The sequence below is a fragment of the Homo sapiens genome, chromosome 19 (assembly GCF_000001405.40).
Source record: "Homo sapiens chromosome 19, GRCh38.p14 Primary Assembly".
NCBI lineage: Eukaryota > Metazoa > Chordata > Mammalia > Primates > Hominidae > Homo > Homo sapiens.
In genome coordinates, this window is record NC_000019.10 from 42,720,448 (window position 1) to 42,741,145 (window position 20,698).

Below are 20,698 nucleotides of genomic sequence, written 5' to 3' on the forward strand. Positions count from 1 at the left end.
CTTTTTATGTAAAAATGCGTGGGCTGGGTGCGGTGGCTCACGCCTGTAATCCCAGCACTTTGGGAGGCTGAGGCGTGCAGATCACCTGAGGTCGGGAGTTCGAGACCAGCCTGACCAACATGGAGAAACCCTGTCTCTACTGAAAATACAAAATTAGGTGGGCGTGGTGGCGCATGCCTGTAATCCCAGCTACTCCGGAGGCTGAAGCAGGAGAATCAATTGAACCCAGGACGCGGAGGTTGCAGTGAGCCAAGATTGTGCCATTGCAGTCTGGCACGGGCAACAAGAGCGAAACTCCATCTTATAAAAAAAAAAAGTGTGGTTGACATGATATATCGGACACTGTTAACTTACTCTCAGAAGCTACTTCTTGTGAAATCCTAAGTACAGCATTATTCTGGGAAGCAAAGGAGACAGGCAGAAGCAAGGACAAATTAAGAGAGGTAACAGTCTCATCATGACTGATAGTCTTGTTCTAACATCTTGAGAAAAGCTGTCCACAGTGTAAAGTCATCAACTTGTCGTGGTTTGCAGTTTGAGTGTCTCTAAGTTATGGTGTTGAACATTTGGTGAGCTCTTAGTGGCCCACACTTCAGACACGAGGGTTTCTCCATGAAATTTACATTGAGTTGTCCATCTCCATCTTATATGGCTTCAGGAACAGAGCTGCTCTTGTTCTTAATGATTTCACTGGAGAAAATTAAATTGGAAGAACTAAAAGAATTCAGGGTCCAGTCCAGTCTACCAGTGGATTATAAGTACTCAAAGATAATGAACAGTGGTTCAATCTGGTAACAGGTGTACTACAGTTTTTCTTTTCAACATAGTTTTTCTCTTTATAGGAGTCTCTATTTTTACCAAAGATAATTCCAGTAGGATGAACTCTTTTGCAAAATAGGTTGAGTCTCACCGAACTTGCCCAGATTTTTTACCTAAGTGCGGCAAGAGTAGCGATGGACCATAGAGGCTCTTTTTAAACTCCCCTTTGCTGGAAGTTTTTAGTAAGAATCTCAGATTAAACTTCCAAAAACCTCTTGAGACTAAGAAGCCAAACCAAGGCCAACTTCAGACTTTGCCTGCATTCCCTATGGGTTTATTCTATGTATATTCTCAAATATAACATCCCAGTCAAAGCCTTGGTAATATAACCAATGTTTTCAAATGTGTCCTGTTATAAAGAGAGCAGATCCTTACTGAACTTGTGCAGATAACTTTATTACCATAAACATATGAATACTCCTGAATAGTTTCCCAATTCTGGGGCACTTAGGGAGCAAAAGCAAATGTTTCAATTTTTGTTTACAAAAGTATACTTTACCAATTGCTGAAGAAAAAAAGTGCATAAATCTGGAGAATAAAACATTCAAAGAATCAGCACATTTTCAAATAGAAAATTATGAAAACATTGTTTTGACTATTTAGTCCAATAAAATTGGGTTTTTTTCTTTGTCTTGAATTTCATGAAGTATCAGCCTGTTCATTAAAATTTTGAAAGTTCTTAGTCCAGTGGTATGATCTTGAAGTTATCAGGAACTTGTATTCAAGAGTCCTTGTCAGAGTCTTTTCATAAATCTCCTTGAACAAAAAGCAATTTTGGACTGTAGCTGATGGTAAATACTTTGAGGAAGAATGAAAGCAACTGTCTGGGAATGACAAAGATTTAAAATGACTATGGTTAAAAATCTAATGAGAATTTATTATGGTAAAGACACAGCTCACAAAATCTAGTTACTTCTGTGGCATATGACACTATGATAACATATTTGATTTCCAGAAATTTCATATAATTTTTAGAATACTCATTAAAAAAATTTTTTTTTTGAGACGGAGTCTCACTCTGTCACCCAGGCTGGAGTGCAGTGGTGCGATCCCAGTTCACTGCAAGCTCCGCCTCCCGGGTTCCTGCCATTCTCCTGCCTCAGCCTCCTGAGTAGCTGGGACTACAGGTGCCTGCCACCAAGCCCGGCTAATTTTGTTTTTGCATTTTTAGTAGAGATGGGGTTTCACCGTGTTAGCCAGGATGGTCTCGATCTCCTGACCTTGTGATCCGCCCACCTCGGCCTCCCAAAGTGCTGGGATGACAGGCGTGAGCCATCGCACCCAGCCTAGAATACTCATATTATTAACATTCCCATAAATATTATTTAGAGGAGGTTTAGCATCACTTATCACTTATTTGAAAATGCTTTCTATATAATTTAACTTATCAAATAAAGTGGCTTTTCCATTCAGCTTCTGTTTGTTAACTGGATTACTGAGTTCTTGGTGTAGCCCATTCATAAATAGGGCCAAAAAAGTATAGTCTTATGTATGTTGAAAAAGGTCCTTAGGTAATTCCAGTACTTCCAGCTGAACATCATTGATTTAGTTTTAAGTTCTACCTATTACAACAAGAGTTCTCCATCCTTGTTACATGTTAGTAGTGTCAGGGAAGACTTAAAAATTACCAATGCCTGGGTCCCTCTCCAGACCTTTAAACTGGAACTAATGGGTGGGGCTTGAGCATCCACTTTTAAAAATGTTTTCCAGTGATTCCAATGTGTAGCTCTATTTCCCATCAGATTTCTCTGATTTCTTGTGGCATTCAATTTTTTCTATTTTGGTATCATGATTATTTTCAGGTCTCATTTCCTGTCTTAGGCTTTATGTCTCCTGGCGTAGGGACCTTGCCTTCATCATTTCTGTATCTTTTTTAAACACATGAACTGGTCATCAGGAAAAGATCTCAACCACACATAGGTTGTGTTCTGAGTCTCAGGTTCACATGTTAATCCTAAAGTCTTAGTTCTCCACGAGGTCAGATGTTGCTTGTGATGAAGGGTGTGGTTAAGTCTGCAGTGCAGATGGTAGAGGGGATTTCACTCTGTTTTCAGACATAGCATTGGAACTAAGAATTTTATATCTATATGGGTGAAGGGACAGGGGTGTGTAGGAAGACAGTTCTAATTAGGATGGAGGAATTATACTAGGAAGTAGCGGTAAAGGAAGTGAGAAGGCTTAGTAAATAGAAGAAATGTGAACTTATCAAAGTGGCTAGAGTAGACCCCTGGAGATTCTTGATTAAGTGAATTAACTAGATTTTAGAAAGGTAATGAGGCAGTCATATGCAAGGAAGATTTCAAAGTCTGGAGACAAGAAGTCAAGCAATACTTTGAGAAGTGGTTGAGCTTTATGGGAATGGAGAGAATTACACTATTGAGAGATGTTAAAAATAATGAAGAGGGTTTCACCATGTGAAATTGTGTTTTTCATTTGAATCTGAGAAACAAATGAGCAGAGAGAGAGGCTGGAGATAATTATGTCTAAAAGACAGTGGGGTACAGGGAGCATAAAGGCCAGGGAGAAAGGGAACTGCAGGAATTAGTGCTGAGAAGCAGGAGTTAGTGGAGGAAGGAGGAGATCCAGTCCCAGATACAGGCAAATAAGTCTTTTCCCTCTCCCAAGCATGGCAGTTAGCCCTGCAGGAACCAGGATAAGAGGAAAGGTCATCATACCTGCCAGTCTTCCTGAAATACAGAAATGACATCACGGCTGCTATAATGGATTAAGGCCAGGAAGATGTCCTGTTCCTGAAGGAGCTGTCATGGAAAAAAAAGAAAAGAAGGAATGAAGATGATGTTATTTTACATGGGGGAGCCTCAGGAACAAGCATGTAACATGAGGTACTCTATAATTGTTTCTTCAAGGACTACGTTATTTCTGTTGGAAAATTGATAGGAGATGATTATATTCTTGCAGTTTTTTTTTCCCTCTCACCCTGTTTCTCAGTTGGTGATCAGTCCTCTGTCAATTCTCTACTGTGCTCAGATATTTGGAAGGCTTTCAGATGTGAGAAAGGCTGATTGCTATTTTCTATGTCATTAGAACTTGCCACCTTTGCACCTTTTCATGGTTGCATCTTTTTCTCAGTGTCTCTGTTGTGGCAGTCATGAATGAGACCCTGCCAGGTCTCCATGGCAGAGACTTGATTGACAGAAGGCCCAGGTCAGTGCATTTCAAATTCACCACCTCCTTTGCACAGAAAGCTTCTTTCCTACAGGCTCCCAGCAAGGGCGTGAAAGCAAGTCTAGTTCTCTGAGGCTCTCTTTAACTCTAATGGGTGACTGGTTGGAGGATTCCCCATCAGCCTTGCAAAAACTCTTATAATTGAATTGGTACCTAAAACTTCTTTCTCTTTCTTTTTCACAGGAATCAGCTCTGCATAGTGGTCTGTGGGTTCTCCCGTACTACCTTCATGCCTGCCCCACATTCCCTCACAGGTGTCTTCCCTGATAAGTTATCTTGTATGTCTAATCCCATCTTGGATGCATCTCAGTCAGTAAAAACTAACATACCAGGCTTGATTCTTTGCACTTAGCTTTTTTTCTTTCTCTCCCACAAGTAGTCAGTAACCATGTCCTAGTGTTTTATGTGTTACCTCTTTTTCCATATATATATATATGGAAAAAGGAAGGTACTGTTGAGGGGCACTTCCTATGTGCCAGGCCCTGTGCTAAATACTTTCCCTGTATCTCATTTAATCCACACAATAACCCTGTGAGGTAGACATTATTTCCATTTTGCCGATGAAAAGACAGAAGCTTAGAGTGGTGTAAAACTTTCCTGGTGTCATATGGCTAGTGACAGGTGGATCTGAGATTTGATTCTAGGACTATTTGACCTCTAGGCTAATGATGATGGTAGTCATATAGCAGCTGACATTGGTTCCACTGTGTGTGGCATCTCGTTTTATTGACTGCATTAAACCTTTAAAAGAAAGGTATGAAGAAAGCACTCTTATTGCAGTTTTCAGGTGAGGTATCAGAGGTTCAGAGAAATTGAGTCTTGTGCAAGAAATTTATAACTGTAAACTCTTACATTAAAAAAGAAGAAAGATCTCAGGTCAACAACCTACTTTAATACTTCAGGATATGAAAGAAGAACAAACTAAACCCAAGCACAGTGAATGAGGGAAAAATAAGGATTAGAGTGGATATAAATAAAATGGAGAATGGAAAAAGAATAGAGGAAATTAATGAAACCAAAAGTTGATTCTTCAAAATAAAATCAACAAAATTGACAACCATTAACTAGATTGACTAAGAAAAAAAGAGAAAAGTTTAAAATTCCTAAAATCAGAAATGAAAATGGACTCTGAGCATGGTGGGTCATGTTTTAATCCTAGCACTTTGGGAAGTCACAGCAGAAGGATTTCTTGAGACCAGGTGTTTGGACCAGCATAGGTAACCTGGGGAGACCCTGTCTCTACAAAAAAATAAAAAAGCCAATTAGCTGCGCATGGTGACATGCACCTGTAGTCCTAGCATCTTGGGAGGCTGAAGAAGGAGAATTACTTGAGCCCAGGAGGTTGAGGCTGCAGTGAGCCATAATCACACCACTGTATTCCATCCTGGGCTGGCCTACAGAGTGAGAGCCTGTCTCTCTCTCTTCAACAACAACAACCAAAAAAAAAAAAAAAAAAAGAAAAAAGAAAAATGAAGCGATTACTACCAATTCTAATAAACTAATGATTATGAAAGTACTATAAATAATTGTATGCCAATAAATTGGATAACCTAGATGAAGTAGACAAACCCCTAGAAACACACAAAAATATGAATGGAACTATAATCAGTAATAAGATTGAATCAATAAAACATTTGATGAAATTCAATATTTTTTCATAATAAAAACTTTCTAAGAAGGGAAGGAAACCACCTCAACGTAAAGGCAATATGTGAAAAACCCAATGCTAACATCATACTCAACGGAGAAAGACTGAAAGCTTTCCCTGTATGAGCAGGAACAAGACAAGGGTGCCTGCTTTTGACACTTTTATTCAACATAGTATTGAAAGGTCTAGTCAGAAAAATTAGGCAAGAATTTAAAAAAAGACGTTAAAATTGGAAGGAAGGAGTAAAATTATTTCTGTTTACAGATAACTTGAACTTATATGTAGAAAATCCTAAAGATGGAACAAACCTATTAGAATTAATAAATAAATTCAGTAATGTTGCACAATACAAAATCAACATTCAAACATCAGTTGTATTTCAATACACTAACCATGAACAATCTGAAGGGAAATTAAGAAAAAAAATTTCAATTTATATTAACATCAAAAAGAATAAAATATTTAGGAATGAGTTTAACCAAAGAGGTAAAATGATTATACCTGAAATCTACAAAATATGGCTGAAAGAAATGAAAGATGACATCAATAAATTGAAAGACATTTTGTTTTCATGAATTGGAAGACTCAATATTGTTAGGAGGACAGTGCTACCTGACGTGAGCTGCAGATTCAATAAAATTCCTATCAGAATCTCAGTGACATTTTTGCAGTAAAAAAAAATCTGTCCTAAAATTTATATTGCATCTCATGACTCTAAATAGACACACAGCTTTGAAGAGGAAGAATGAAGCTGGAGGACTCACACTTCCTGATTTCAGCATTTACTACAAAGCCCCAGTAATCAATACACTGTGGTACTGGCATAAAGGAGGACATAGAAATTAATGAAATATAATAACCCAGAAAGAAATGCTTGCATATATGGCCAAATGATTTTCATCGAGTGTGCCAAGATCGTTCAATGGGGAAGGGACCGTTTTCTCACCAAATGATATTGGGAAAGGTGGATATCCAAGGGCAAGAACAGTGGAACCTTTACCTAACACCATGTACAAAAAGTAACCCACAATAGATCAAAGATCTAAATGTAAGGGCAAAAACTATTCAACTCTTAGAAGAAAAGCTTCATGATACTGGATTTCACAATGATTTCCTGGTTGTAACAACAAAAGCATAGGCAACAAATAAAATGGATAAATCGGACTTCATAAAAATCAAAACCTTTTATATATCAAAGAACACTATCAAGAAAGTAAAAAGCAACCCACGAAATGATAAAAATATTTGCAAATTATATGTGTGATAAGAAATTAATTTCCAGAATACATGAAAAGCTACAAGTCAACAACAGCAAACATCCAAAAACCCAATTAAAAAATGAACAAAGGATTAAAATGGAGTTTTCTCCAAGGAAGATATACAAATATCAAATAAGCCCATGCAAAGTTCCTCAGCATCAGGAATACTTGGAGATATGCAAATCAAAACCACATTGTTACACCACCTCACACACTTTAGGATGGTTTTGATAAACAACAACAATGACAGCAACACAAAACAACAGGTGTTTTCAAGTAGATGGAAAAATTGGAGCTCTAGTGCATTGCTGATGGGAATGGGAAATGTTATAGCCACTGTAAGAAGTGGTGTGGCTCTCTCTCAAAAAATTAAACAATAAATTACCATTTGATCCAGCAATTCCACTTCTGGACATAATCCCCATAGAATTGAAAGAAATTTGAACAAATATTTGTAAACTGATGTTCAGAGAAGCATTACTCACACTAGCCAAAAAATGGAAACAACTGAAAAGTCCATTGAAAGATAAGTGGGTAGGCAAATGAGGTGTATCTATACATTGAAATGTTGTTCAACCTTAACAAGGAATAAAATTCCAATACATAGTGCAAAGTGGATGAACCTTGAAGATATTATGCTAACTGAAATAAGCCAGACACAAAAGGATAATTATTATATAATTCCATTTATAAAAGATAGTTAGAATAGCCAGTTACATAGAGACAGAAAGTAGAATGGTGGGTGCTAAGGTTTAGGGGGAGAAGGAGTGAGAGTTACTGTTTATTGGCTACAGAGGTTTAATATGGTAAGAGGAAAAAGTTCTGGAAATGGATAGTGTGATGGTTACACAACACTAAATTGCACACTTAGAAATAGTTAATGGTAAGTCTTATATTAGATATATATAAAGTGTCCAGTAGTCTTACCCTCTCTATAATTACACACTTTTTGGCACTGCCCCTTTCCTGCCATGCAGAGCCCTAGGGGTGAATCTCCCTATTTCTCCAGCTCTGCATCAGTCACTGTCCTCCGTGCTGTGTCCCAGGTGCTGTGCCCACAGCCTCATACAGCCGGTGACTTCAGAGCCAGGACACAGCTCAGGAGTCTGCCCTGAGGCTCCCTCTCTTTTTGTTTCCCTGCAGCCTGGCCCGGGGGAGGCTTGGCTTCAACTGGCAACTCGATTTAGCCAAATTCAGGACAGGCCACCAGGGCTCTTTCTCCACAGATGCTGGTCCCACCCAGGTGGAGTCAGGCAGGGCCAGTCACCAGAGGAGCCTGGAGCAGAGCAGGAAGCAGAGTCTGAGCTGCTCCTCCCTCACCCAAGGGGCTTCCTCCTCTCATCTGGGGGAAAAGTGTCAGCTTGTTTCAAAGCCTCGGATGTTCCTTGTAGCTCATAGAATAGGTACAAGAAAACAAAGACGTGGCAGAAGGGGATGTGTTGGTGACAGCAAGAAGCAACTTGATCTTGAGGACTCTCCTTCTTGTCCCTCTCTGAATCCTCTTCTACCACATAGGGCTCAGGGCTGATAAAGCCCGCTCCGTACCTTTCTCAGGCCAGACACAAGGTCAGCCATGAGAAAACAGAAAAACAAGGAGAAGAGAGTCTGTAGAGACAAATTGGGAGGGTTCAGGAGGAGAATTTGGGATTTGCTTGTGCCCATGGGACACAGGCTGGGAATAAAAATGTTTTCCTGACTCTTCTCTGAAAGCCAGAGAGACTCCACCTAAAACTCTATTGCCAAGCATGCTGGGATCCACTTACCAGAGACTTTGACTGTCATGGATTTGGAGCTTTCCATGCCAGTGGCTGAGTTACGAACAGAGCAAGCATAGAGCCCGCTATGCTTTGTAGTAATCTGGGGGATAAAGAGCTTTTGTCCTGATAGCTGAAACTTCCCATTAATTGTCCAAGAATATTCTGCTGGTGGGTTAGAGTCCGCGAAGCAGGACAAGTAGAGGTTTTCTCCTGAATGGTAATAGGTGAATGAAGGGTAAATTCTGGGGAGGTCTGGACCATCTGGAGCAAAGAGAATAAAGCCACAGGTGATGTCATCCGAGGGAAGGGGATGCTCCTGGTCTCTTAAAGGGACACAGTGACCCTCTGAGCCAAGACACACCCTCAAGTGCCAGCCAAACCCCCTCTATGTTCACTGAGCTGAAGCCTGAGGTATTCCCCTGTTTCTCCCATCACAAGCTGTGGGCCCCAAGTCTCCCATGACAAGAGCGTCCCCTCCCCTTATATTCTTGGTTAAGGCTGTGCCTACCCAGATCTTCCCAGGGCAGGAAGTTATGGCCAGCTCGGATGTCCAGAAGTAATGGTATCTATACTTGGACCAGAGAGAGAGTGAGAGGCCTGGCCTCTGGTCGTTTTGATTTAAGCTGGTGTCCTGGCCCACAGAGGAACAAAAGATACTCACAGAGGACATTCAGGGTGACTGGGTAACTGCGGATGCCACCATATCGGTCCTGTATTTCACATTGATAGGGTCCTGTTTCATTTCTCGTGACACTGGGTAGAATGAGGATCCTGTTTTCAATGGGTCGCTTTACCCTGGGACTGACCGGGAGGCTCTGACCATTTAGCCACCAAATGTAGGTGTAGTTCTCACTCTTAGGTTCACAGGTGAAGGCTAAGACATCCTTATTCTCCCTGGGGTTTAAGTTGTTGATGGTGATGTAGGGCTTGGGCAGCTTCGCTGTGTGGATAACAGAGAGAAGATTGTCCTGTGTGGCACCTTTGATTCCTCCACTGGCATCCTTCAATCAGAGTTGGCATCTCCCACCTCTCAGCCCACCCGAGTCCTTGAAAGCCAATAGCTGGTGCGTGTGTCACAAGACAGATGCATGATGATCTAAGGGCTCAAAGACTGTGAGGCCAGCTGCTCTGTCTTAGGGAAGCACAGACTTTCTCAAGTGTCAATTGAGCAGCAGTGTTGGGTCATGGACAGACACGTCAATGGGAGTCACAGCCCCTGGTACCCCTCCCAGTCCCTCCATAATCAGTTGACTGGCTGGCTCACCCTGGGTTCCTTACCTGGAATGTGCAACTGGTGGGCCCCTTCCAAATTCCATCCTACTTTGCCCCCATAGATGTGATTTCTCTGCAACTTCCATTTCCAAGGACATTCTAGAGATGAGTAATAATGGGACTTCCCATGGCCCTGAAACCCTGAAGATACTGAGCAGCCTGGCCTGGGACTGGATGTTTCAGCAGAAATAACACAGGGGAGACCAGAATCAAGCCTGGAGGTCAGTTCAGTCATCAGGCAGTGGAGGCTCAAGGTGGGGCAGTTTTTTGCAGGTGTTTCATGATGACTTACTTGAACCAGTGACCTCTAAAGATAGAGCAGAGTGCAAGGAATGATCTAGAAAGAGTGAAGGTGACAGGCAAGAGCTGGTGGCTTTGGAGCAGAAGCATGTTCCCTGTCTTGGGTTCTTTAAGTTTCCTCTCCTTCTGCAGAGGGCAGGTGAGGACCATGTGGATCTTTCCAGAAATACATGTGGACATTTGCAAATGCAGCACTGACTGGTGGAAAGGGTGGGAATGAACTGCTGGAAATCTGGTCCTCATGGACCATATGTGTTTGATGGATATGAGACAAATTTGGAGAGAAGTTTTGCAAATATTTTCTTTCATTGGACATTCTACTCAATGATTCCATGGGTTCGACTACTCTAGGGACCTCATGTAAGTGGATTCCAGAGTGAATATGAGAAGAGACTGCTGGTTGCCAGGAGCTGGGAGTGGGGAGAATCAGAAGTTGTTCATGGGTGGGCAGTTTCAGTTATTCAAGGTGGGGAGGTTCTAGAGATCTGCTGTAGAGCTTGATGCCTATAGTTCACACAGATTGAGTATTTCTTATGCATAAGACTTAGGACAAAAAGTGTTTTGGATTTCTGACATTTTTTGATTCTGAAATATTTGTCATATACTTACTGGTTTAGCATCCCAAATCTGAAAGACTCAAAATCTAAAATGCTTCAGTGAGCATTTCTTTTCAGCATCAGATTAGTAGGCAAAAGTGGGAGGTGATAAGCCAAAGATATTCTTGCCCTTTTTTTTTCTCTCACCACTTTTCTAGCTTGGTGATTAGTTTTCGGTGAATTCCATACTGGCCATGCTGCACTTGTATATTTTTGAAGGCCTTGGGATGTGAGAAAGGCTGATTGCTATTTTCTATGTCATCAGAACTTTCCACCTTTTCATGGTTGCCTCTTTTTCTCAGTGTATCTGTTGTGGCAGTCATTAATAAGAGCCTGTCAGGTGAGATTTAGGACAGTGTTTTCTAATTCTGCAAAAAATGTTACTGGGATTCTGTTAGGTGTTACATTGAATCCGCAACTCACTTTGGGAATATTATCTTTCTAACAATATTGATTCCTCCAATCCATGAAAATGAAATGTGTTTCCATATATTGATATCGTCTTTAACTTGTTTCAGCAATCTTTTGTAGTTTTCAGGGTATAATCATTTGACTTTTTGGTTAAACTTATTTCAAAATATTTTATTCCTTTTGATGTTAATGTGAACTGAAATTCTTTCCTTAATTTCCTTTCAGATTGTTCATTGTTAGTGTATAGTCTAAAGAATGATCTAGAAAGAGTGAAGGGGACAGGCAAAAGCTGGTGGTTTTGGAGCAGAAACATATTCCCTGTCCTGGGTTTTTGATTTTCCCTCTCCCTTTGCAGAGGGCAGGTGGCTCTTCCCTGATAGCTAGATAGACTTCACTGGAAAACATAGTGCCAATGCTCCAGGGATCCACTTACCAGGGACTATGATCCTCTTGATTATGAGATTTGTTCCAGCAGTGGCTGAGTTATGGATGAAACAGACATAGACCCCTCTATATGTTTTAGTGATTTGGGGGATAAAGAACACTTGTGCTGATTGCTGGAACTTCCCATCAATCAGCCAAGAATGCTCTGCCAGTGGGTGAGAGTCTGTGAGGCAGGAGAGCTTGGGGGCTTCCCCTGTATGGTAATAGGTGTATGAGGAGGAAATGGTGGGGGCATCCAGGCCATGTGGAGCAAAGAGAATAATGTCATAGGTGGTATTGTCAGAGGGAAGGGAAAATCCTGGTCTGTGGAAGGGCCACAGTGACCCTGTGAGCCAAGTTGCAACACTGAAGTCCCAGCCAAATCCCTGCTGTGTTCACTGATCTGGAGCCTGAGACAGTCACCTGTTTTGCCCATCACAAGCTGTGGACGCTGAGTCTCCCATGACAGGAGCAGCCTCTTTTCTCCTATTGTTGATCAAGCCTAGGCCTACTCTGGTTTGCCTGGGGCAGAAAGTCATGGCCAGGTTTGATGTCCAGGGGTAAAGGTCTCTGTACTTGGACCTGAGAGGGACTGAGAGGCCTGGCCTCTGGCCACGTGTATTTGGGATGGCAGACTGGCTCACAGAGGAACAGGAGATACTCACGGAGGAGATTCAGGGTGACTGGGTCACTGCGGCTGGCACTCACTGGGTTCCGTATTTCACATTCATAGGGTCCTGCAGTGTACTTTGTGACACCAAATAGAAAGAGGGTCCTTTTGTTTTTGGACAACTGCAAGCTGTGAGTCATAGGGAGGCTCTGACCATTCATCCACCACAGGTAGCTTGCGTCCGGAGTCTCAGGATCACAGGTTAAGCTCACAGCCTCCATGTCCTCCCTGGGGTATAAGTTGCTGCTGGAGATGGAGGGCTTGGGAGTCTCCACTGTGCAGAAAACAGAGAGAAGATTGCCCTGTGTGGCACCTTTGATTCCTCCAAAGGCATTTTTCAATCAGAGTTGGCATTTCCCACCTCTCAGCCCACCCAAGTCCTTAAAAGCCCATGGCAGGTGTGTGTGTTACAAGACAGATGCATGGCAATCTGAGGGCTCAGAGATTGTGAGGCTGCCTGCTTCGTGTGGGAGAAGCACAGACTTTCTTAACTGTGAATTGAGCAGCAGCATTGGGTCACGGAAAGACACAGGACCAGCAGTCACAGCCCCTGGTGCCTCTCTGAGTCCCTCCATCTCGAAGTGCCTGCCTGGCCCACCTTGTGGTCCTCACTTGGAGCATGCAGTGCTGGAATCTTCTTAGTTTCAGTCTTACTTTGCCGCCCGAGGTATGTTTTCTCTGCAGCTTCCCTTGCCAAGGACATCCTAGAGATGGGTGATGGAACTTCCAATTGTCTTTAAACCCTTTGGATACTGGAAAGCCTGACCTGGGACTGGGTACTTCAGCAGAAATAACACAGGGGAGAACAGAGTCAAGTCCGGAGTTCAGTTCAGTCATCAGGCAGTGGAGCCACAAGGTGGGGCAGTTTTCCCAGGTGTCTCATAGTGGCTGACTTGAGCCAGTGACCTCTAAAGATAGAGCAGAGTCCAAGGAATGACCTACAAAGAGTGAAGGGGACAGGCAAGAGCTGATAGCTTTGGACCAAGACCACGTTCCCTGTTCTGGGTCCATGATGCTCCCTTCCCCCTGTAGAGGGCAGGTGAGGACCATGTGGATCTTTTTGGAAATACATGTGGATGTTTGCAAATGCAGAACCGACTGGTGGAAAGGGCGAACATGAACAGATGATGGAAGTCTGGCCCTCATGGACCATATGTGTTTGGTGGATATTAGACCAATATTTGGGAAGAAGCCTTGCAGATACTTTCTCTCATTAGACATTCTACTCTCTGATTCTGAATTTGACTACTCTATGTACCTGATATCAGTGGATTCCAGAGTGAATCAGAGTGTAGAATAGTAGTTTCCAGGAGCTGGGATCAGGGGAATAGGGCGTTGTTCTGTGGGTGTGCGGTTTCAGTTATGCAGGATGAGGAGGTTCTAGAGATCTCCTGTACAGCTTCATGCCTATAGTTCATACAGATAAAGTGCTCCTTATTCAGAAAGCTTAAAACCAAGTGTTTTGGATTTCTAATTTTTTTTATTTTGGAATATTTACAGTACATGTACTGGTTTAGCATCCCAAATCTGAAAAATTTAAAATCCACAATGCGCCAGTGAGCACTTCTTTTTAGCATCACATCAGTGGTCAGAAGGGTTGAGTTTTGGAGCATTTCAGATTGTGGATTTCTGGATTTCCGATGCTCAATTTGTAATACTGTAATTTTCCCATAAAAATTTGTCAGGAGTTTAGACCTTATGTTCTGACTCTAGTAACAACAACAGCAAAAAATTTGGAGGAAACATTGAAATGTTTTCATAAGTGGAAATTTTTACTGATGATCCAAACATCTAAGATCAATTGCTGGTAGTAGTATTTCTCTTGAGACCAAAATAAGGTTTAGGTGTGCCGTGAATTCCAGCAGGATCACATTATGCTCAAAGAAAGATGCCAAAGGTGATTTGAAATTAGCAACTCCTTAAGTAGAGAGAGTCCCGTTAAAAGGACAGAACTGGTTAGTGTGTCAATTGCATAAAGGGAGGAAGGATGCCAAACTAAAAGAAGTGATGTGTGTTATGTTAGTAAATATAGAAAGAACCTGCTTCTAATTTCTGTGCAGAGTTAGGAAAAATGGGGAGGACCCCAAAACAGGTATGTGAAATGCTTTCTTCATTTTCTCTTAAGCTCAGGAAACACCACTAGTGTTTAAGTTTGTGTGAATTAGAAAGAGTCTAAGTGAGATGCCAATGGTTTGTGTGTCTCCCCACACGCAGAACTCCAACTTATGAAAACGGCATCATCATGAGGAAACAGTTGTATGTGGCACAGGCAGTAAAGCCATCAGATAGCACCCACCTGGCCACCTCCACCTGGTCCCCAAAACCACCAGTATTCCCATTACGTGTATCTTATAGCCTTTGTAGTTGTCCCACAGCTACAAAATTTAAAAATTGCTATTGTCAAATCAAAATATTAAATATGAAGTTGAAATGTTGTTCCACTTTTTTTCCCCACTCTTGTTGAACTTTCCTGTTTCAGTTTTGGAAGTTTCTATTGACATATCCTCAAGCTAGGGATTCTTTCCTCAGCTATGTTCAGTCTACCAGTAAGTATCAAAAGCATTCTTCATGTCTCTAAAAACATTTTTTTTTTTCTGAGACAGAGTCTCGCTCTGTCACCTAGGCTGGAGTGCAGTGGCATGATCTCATCTCACTGCAAGCTCCACCTCCTGGGTTCATGCCATTCTCCTGGCTTGGCCTCCCAAATAGCTGGGACTACAAGCGCCTGCCACCACGTCCAGCTAATTTTTTGTATTTTTAGTAGAGACGGGGTTTCACCATGTTAGCCAGGATGGTCTCCATCTCCTGACCTTGTGCCTGCCTCGGCCTCCCAAAGTCCTGGGATTATAGGCATGAGCCACTGTGCCCAGCCATCTCTGAGGGATTTTAATGAGTTGTTGACTTTTGAGTTTGTTCAGCTTTTTACTTAGTGTTAGAACCGAGGAACAAATTTCAAGCTTGTTATATGCCTGACAGGAAGCCAGAAGTCTCTAGGAAGTGACCGGAGAATGTGAGCTTTATAGCAGGTTGAGGATGGAGTCACAAGTGAAATGGGTGAAATGAGCCCATGGGGTTTGGGGACTGCAGGCCTGTCCAGCCTCTGACACTCTGGTGAGTCAGTGCTAAGATTACAACAGTGACAGCAAACTAGCATGGCTGAGTCCATCTGGTATCTAGTCTCAGGCTGGCTGTCCTCACTCATTCCTGGGCATAGGCCAGGCTAACCTTGGGAGGAATTTAGTTTATTGTTTAACTTTGAAGCAAGAATGATAATTGTTCCTCTGTAAAAGTAACACCCTTACTTTGCCCAGGGACTGCCTTTGTAAAACTAGTGAAAGACCATGAGATTAAGATTATAGGAGGGAACTGAATTCTGCTAAAATGTTGGCAGAGTTTTTATAATCCTTGACTGCTCAAATGTCGTTGGGCCAGAGTTTACAAAATTTGTAACTAATTGCTCCTATAGATAACATCACTATTGTAGAACGTGAGATTGGTCTTTTGAGATGTTTCTCATTCTTTTGCATTCTGGCAACCGGCTGACCTCATCCATACCTATGACTAATGGCTCAGCCCGTCATGTGGTCCCTACCTAGAGGTGGATTCAAGCACAAACAGATCATTTCCCTCCGCCCGCATGATTCCATCACCAATCAGCAGTACTCATTTTTTAGTCCTGTGCCCCTGAAACTATCCTTGAAAATCTCTAAGCCCTGATCCACTGGGGAGGCTGATTTGAGTAATAATAAACCTCCATCCTCCTGTTTGGCAGACTTGGAGTCATTAAAATCTTTCTTTACTACAAACCACCATTTCAATACATTTGTGTGTGTGTGTGTGTGTGTGTGTGTGTGTGTGTGTGTGTGTGTGTGCAGGAGGCCAGAAGAACTTGTCTGGCAATTATAAGAGTGGATGGAGAAACTGCCTATCCCTGTCCCATGGTCTTGTCCACAGGTCAGCCTCACAAAGGGAAAGAGCCCTGGATGGGAATACAGTGGAAACTCATTCTCTTAGTGACCTGGGGACATTGGCTCTAGAGGAAGCCTGGCAGGAGTGGCAACTCCAGGTGATTTCTGCACCTTTCCTATTTCCTGGGAGGTGGGCCAGGCCACAGTGTTAGCGGGAAGGGAACTGAACAGTCAGCCTAGTTAGAGGGAGTGTCTGGGGAAGACCTAGGGGTGGGGGAAGAAGCTGTGCAGGACAGGGCTTGCCAGTCAGAATGAAGTGGGAGGAAGATGAGGGACACAGAGAAGCAGAGAGAGGCAGAGACACCATGGCAGTGAGCAGTGAGGGCTACACTGACTTCAGAGACCCCAGGGACCAGGTGCCCCCAGTTCCACAGTCCAGGACCAAGGAGCCCTGAGAACCCTCCGGTGGCCAAAGAGCTTCAGAGTTACATGAGGTGGGGTTGCTTTAGGGTCAAGAGGTAGTGGGGGGATGAAACGTGGGTGTCAGCCTCTGAAGGACAAGGGACAGGTGTGGCTAGAACCTCCTAGGATTCTGCATGCAAATTCAGTCTCTAAAGAGGTTTTGGATCATTCATTTCTTCATTCCATTTCTTCATTTGTTATGTAAGAGCTCCTGAGTGTGTCTGTCTCGCTGGGCCTATGGTGGTGTAGGGTGTGAGTGGGGAAAGAAAACAAGGTCCTCTCCTTGATCCTCTTGTGACAGTGACATGGACACTTTGGGAAACACAGGATTTCAGGTTCAGTGATGGTGGTTAAGATCTGAGGGGGAGGCCTGGACATGTTTTTTCCACTGACTCTGACGGTTGAGGTAGGTGATTTAGTTCTGGAATACAGACTAATCAGTTGACCGTTTGCTCTCACTCCTCTGAGGTTTGGATGCCTAAGAAGAGAGGATTTGAGCCAATAAATGACTATAGGGTGATTGGAACCCAGTAAGCCCTCACTTCTGGTGGAGGAGAGGGTGGGCCTTTGGCTCCAGACACACCTCATGTGACCCTGATCTCCCCTTTGTGTTTGTGTGACTCTGGTTCAGTGACTGTGGCTTCCTGTGCCTCAGTTTTCTCTCAAACAAATAAGCTAAATGGCAAATGGACTGTGGCTTTTCATGCTATCTGTGAATAAATGTTAAATGATTCACAGTCACGTGACCTAATTCTTGGCACAGTGGAGGTTTCACACAAACAGCATTTATTATTAATTTGCTTCCATGAGAAAGCACCTTTATGTCAGATGCCTGTGGACAAGCTGCTACCTGGTATATCTTCTCTCCTCTGTTTCTGCTTCTGGGGACATTAGACTTTCTATGGACTGGCCTAAGCCTCCTAAGGCAGTTGTCTGATGGCCTACAAAGCTTGTCTTTCTGTCCTCTCCACTCTGAGTGTCAGGTGAAGAAAGCTCTGTCCTTGCCCAGATGAGGCTCTGAGGGCTGAGCCCTGGCTGGTGAACAGCTCCAGGAGACACAGTCCTCTGACAGCTGGTAAATCCTTGGTCCCAGTAAGCCCTGCCCAAGAAGCGACAACCCAGCCCCAGTACAGGCTCCTCAGATTTATCTGGAGCAAGGATTTAGGGACATGGTTCTGGGGGTGAGGCTTCTAGGGCTGAGCTTCTCTGAGAGTATTTCATGGGGCCCCTGAGGCCAAGCCCTACTCAGTTTGCCAGGGTCTTTCTCAGGGTCAAATTTATGAAGAGAGCATGAGGTGCTTGGCTGAGACTGATCTCCTCCTGCTGAGTCCCCCCATCAGACTGTCCTTCCTCTGCAGCGAGTGTCTGCAGGGTCTGGATGCGGGAAAGGAATTCTGATCTGTTGAAATTTGTCTCTTCTGTGTGTGTCCTGCACTAAATGCCCAAACCCCAGCATGGGACATAATGCAGAGAGGGACACAGGCACAATCCAGGCCTGACAATCCTTTGTGTGTGAAGTAAAGACCCCATCCCCCAACACCCAGTGATCACGTGGAGTCACTCACGGTATAAGGTGAAGGTGAAATGTCCAGTTTCTCCTCTAGTCCCATCACCTCGCTTTACGATGTGTAAGGTGTAGGATCCTGCGTCCTCCCGGGTGACATTCTGGATCAGCAGGGATGCATTGGAATATACTGTTTCTCGTCCACTGTATGCAGGCCCATATATAATTATTTGACCATCTACTACGTATGATGTAATGTAATGGTAGAGGTCCTTCATTTGCCCTTTGTACCAGATGTAGCCAGCAAGATTCTGGGGCAAATTGTGGACAAGTAGAAGAACGTCCTTCCCCTTGGAAACTTTGGTTGGCTCGGCTTCAATCGTGACTTGGGCAGTGGTAGGCAAGTTCCAGAAGTTTAAAAGTAATGCTAGGAGGTGGAGAGAGCATCAGTCAATATTGAGACCTATGCATTGGGGTGAAAAGATGTGGCCCTGGGTCCTGAGAAGGTCTCTTCAATCCTCAGCTTTGAAGAGACACACACACACACATACAAACACACACACACACACAAAAGGGGCATGTGTATATGTGTTTGTGTCCTACTCTCCTACTAGGTGAAGGTCAGCAACATGACCCCCATTCCTTCAACACTTCTGACCTTGGCATTTTTCTGTTTGGAATCCTCTTCCCCAGGGGTCCGCACGGCCCCCTCCACACTGCCCTCAGGTCCTGCTCACATCAGGGCATCCTTAGACTTCTTTCCTGACGCCTCCTTCAGAGACCCTGGGTCTTCCCTTTCTGACCTTTCCCTGCTCTGCTCCCTCCAGGGTTCTTCTCAACACCTGACCTCACATTCTAGAACTCTTTGCATGTCTGTCTTCCCCCCCATGACAGCGTGAGCTCCGTGAGGACAGGGACTTTTGTGATCTTCTTTGCACCCCAGTGCCTGGAACAGGCTGCAGACTCCTGTAGATGTGAGAGTTCTCAGGGCCCTCCATGCCCTGGGTGTTTTTTCTTCCCCCAGTTGTTGAGGTTTTTTTGCTGAGGACAGTGTTTCATGCCCTGCTTATATTTTTATTTGAAGTGTCATCTGATATAGTTATTATTATCATTTTTCAAAATGTGGTGGCCCCTGATGATTAATCAGGAAAACAGAACACTTAAGATTTTCCTACCTCTTACCAATTCTGGTTCCTGTGACTTTCCTGTTTTGACCCCTGTCCCTCTTGGGTGTATTTTCCCCTATCCAGGCTCCAACAGAGACTTCTTTCCTTTTTTTCTTTTTTCTTTCCATTCTTTTTTTTTTTTGAGACGGAGTCTTGTACTGTCGCCCAGGCTGGCGTGCAGTGGCACTATCTCGGCTCACTGCAATTTCTTCCTCCCGGGTTCACGTGATTCTCCTGCCTCAGCCTCCCGGGTAGCTAGGATTACTGGAGCACACCACAATATCTGGTTAAATTTTTGTATTTTTAGTAGAGACAGGGCTTCACTGTGTTGGCCAGACTGATCTTGAACTCCTGATCTCGTGATCCACCCTCCTCAGCCTCCCTAAGTGCTGGCTTCTTTTATTTTTTAGAACCCCAGGAGTCTCTCCAGGAGACCCCATCCAGTCACTCTGCTTCCTCCTCCTGTCCTCTCCCAGGAAGTTCTCTCCTCACCTGTGAGCAGGAGCCCCTTCCAGGTGATGCGCTGTGTGCAGGGAGGGGCTGAGAGGGGCCCCATGGTCTCTGCTGCCTGCGTGTTCTCCTCTGTGGAGCTGAGCCTAGGATCCAGAAACTTCCTGAGCATGGCTCTCAGCTGTGCTGTCCTTCCTCCTTCTGCGCTGAGCCTCTTCCCGGGGCAGGAGCACTTCTCAGGTTCATGGGCGGGGTCAGGCCCAGGACACCTCTCTGTCCCCTCCTCTCTCAGTCCTGCCTCCTTGTCCCTCCTGTTTTTCCTTTTGTCTGTGTTTCAGGTCCCTGGGAATTGTGGAGGCCTCTGCCTTTTTCAGCAGTGATTCTTTCACCAAGCCTCATCACACACTTTGTGCAGACACACACACACACAGACACACACAGAAGAGACACACACAGACCCACACAGTCAGAAACATACCCTGCAGGTTGGGCAAGCAGAGTCCTGGGCCTCAGCCTCCTGCTGTCCCCATGGCTCTGGGTCGGGGTGCACATTCATGCCCTTTGGCCTCTTTCATCCCCATCTGGCTCTCCCCTTCAGTGCAGGAGGCTGGAGCTGAACCAGGTCCCTGTCACAGTGACACCCCATTGTGCTGTGGGTGAGCTGTGTGTTGCCTGATGAGAGGGAACCTTCCTTTTTCTAATCGTGTCTAGCTTGGCTGCAGCTTCCAAGGATGGACATTCAGGACCTGGGTGTCCCAGAGGAAACTGTCCTTCCTGGAGGTGTGCAGGATGAATCTCTCATGCCTCTTGTGAGGAGAGGCCTGTGCTGGTTGCTCAGTGGGGGGCTGTGAGTCCCATAGTCAAAGG

At 44.0% G+C, this 20,698-nt stretch overlaps 1 protein-coding gene across 3 annotated transcripts; it reads right to left on the reverse strand.

Annotated features, from left to right (window-relative positions):
- Positions 1-1,194: 1,194 nt before the first annotated feature.
- PSG3 (pregnancy specific beta-1-glycoprotein 3) lies at positions 1,195-20,034 on the reverse strand. 3 transcript variants are annotated; one of them, NM_021016.4, is made up of 7 exons: positions 19,874-20,034; positions 18,277-18,642; positions 12,337-12,615; positions 9,331-9,609; positions 8,676-8,930; positions 3,495-3,578; positions 1,195-1,643 (listed from the first exon to the last, which is right to left on the reverse strand). In NM_021016.4, the coding sequence occupies exons 1-6, from the start codon at positions 19,935-19,937 to the stop codon at positions 3,535-3,537; spliced, it is 1,287 nt and encodes a 428-aa protein (NP_066296.2). In that variant the 5' UTR covers positions 19,938-20,034; the 3' UTR covers positions 1,195-1,643; positions 3,495-3,534. The 3 variants fall into 3 exon arrangements, with proteins under 3 accessions (NP_066296.2, XP_011525428.1, XP_011525429.1); XM_011527126.3 differs by lacking the exon at positions 9,331-9,609; XM_011527127.3 differs by lacking the exons at positions 8,676-8,930; positions 9,331-9,609.
- Between the last annotated feature and the right edge of the window lie 664 nt (positions 20,035-20,698).

Bases quoted from the DNA above. Each gene is read 5' to 3' on its own strand.
- PSG3 (NM_021016.4), bottom strand. From the start codon at position 19,937: ATGGGGCCCCTCTCAGCCCCTCCCTGCACACAGCGCATCACCTGGAAG. The intron at 18,643-19,873 runs GTGAGGAGAGAA...TCCACCTCCTAG, and splicing joins GAAGGGGCTCCTGCTCACAG to CATTACTTTTAAACTTCTGG. The intron at 9,610-12,336 runs GTGAGTATCTCC...TTATCCACACAG, and splicing joins AGTCACCCTGAATCTCCTCC to CGAAGCTGCCCAAGCCCTAC.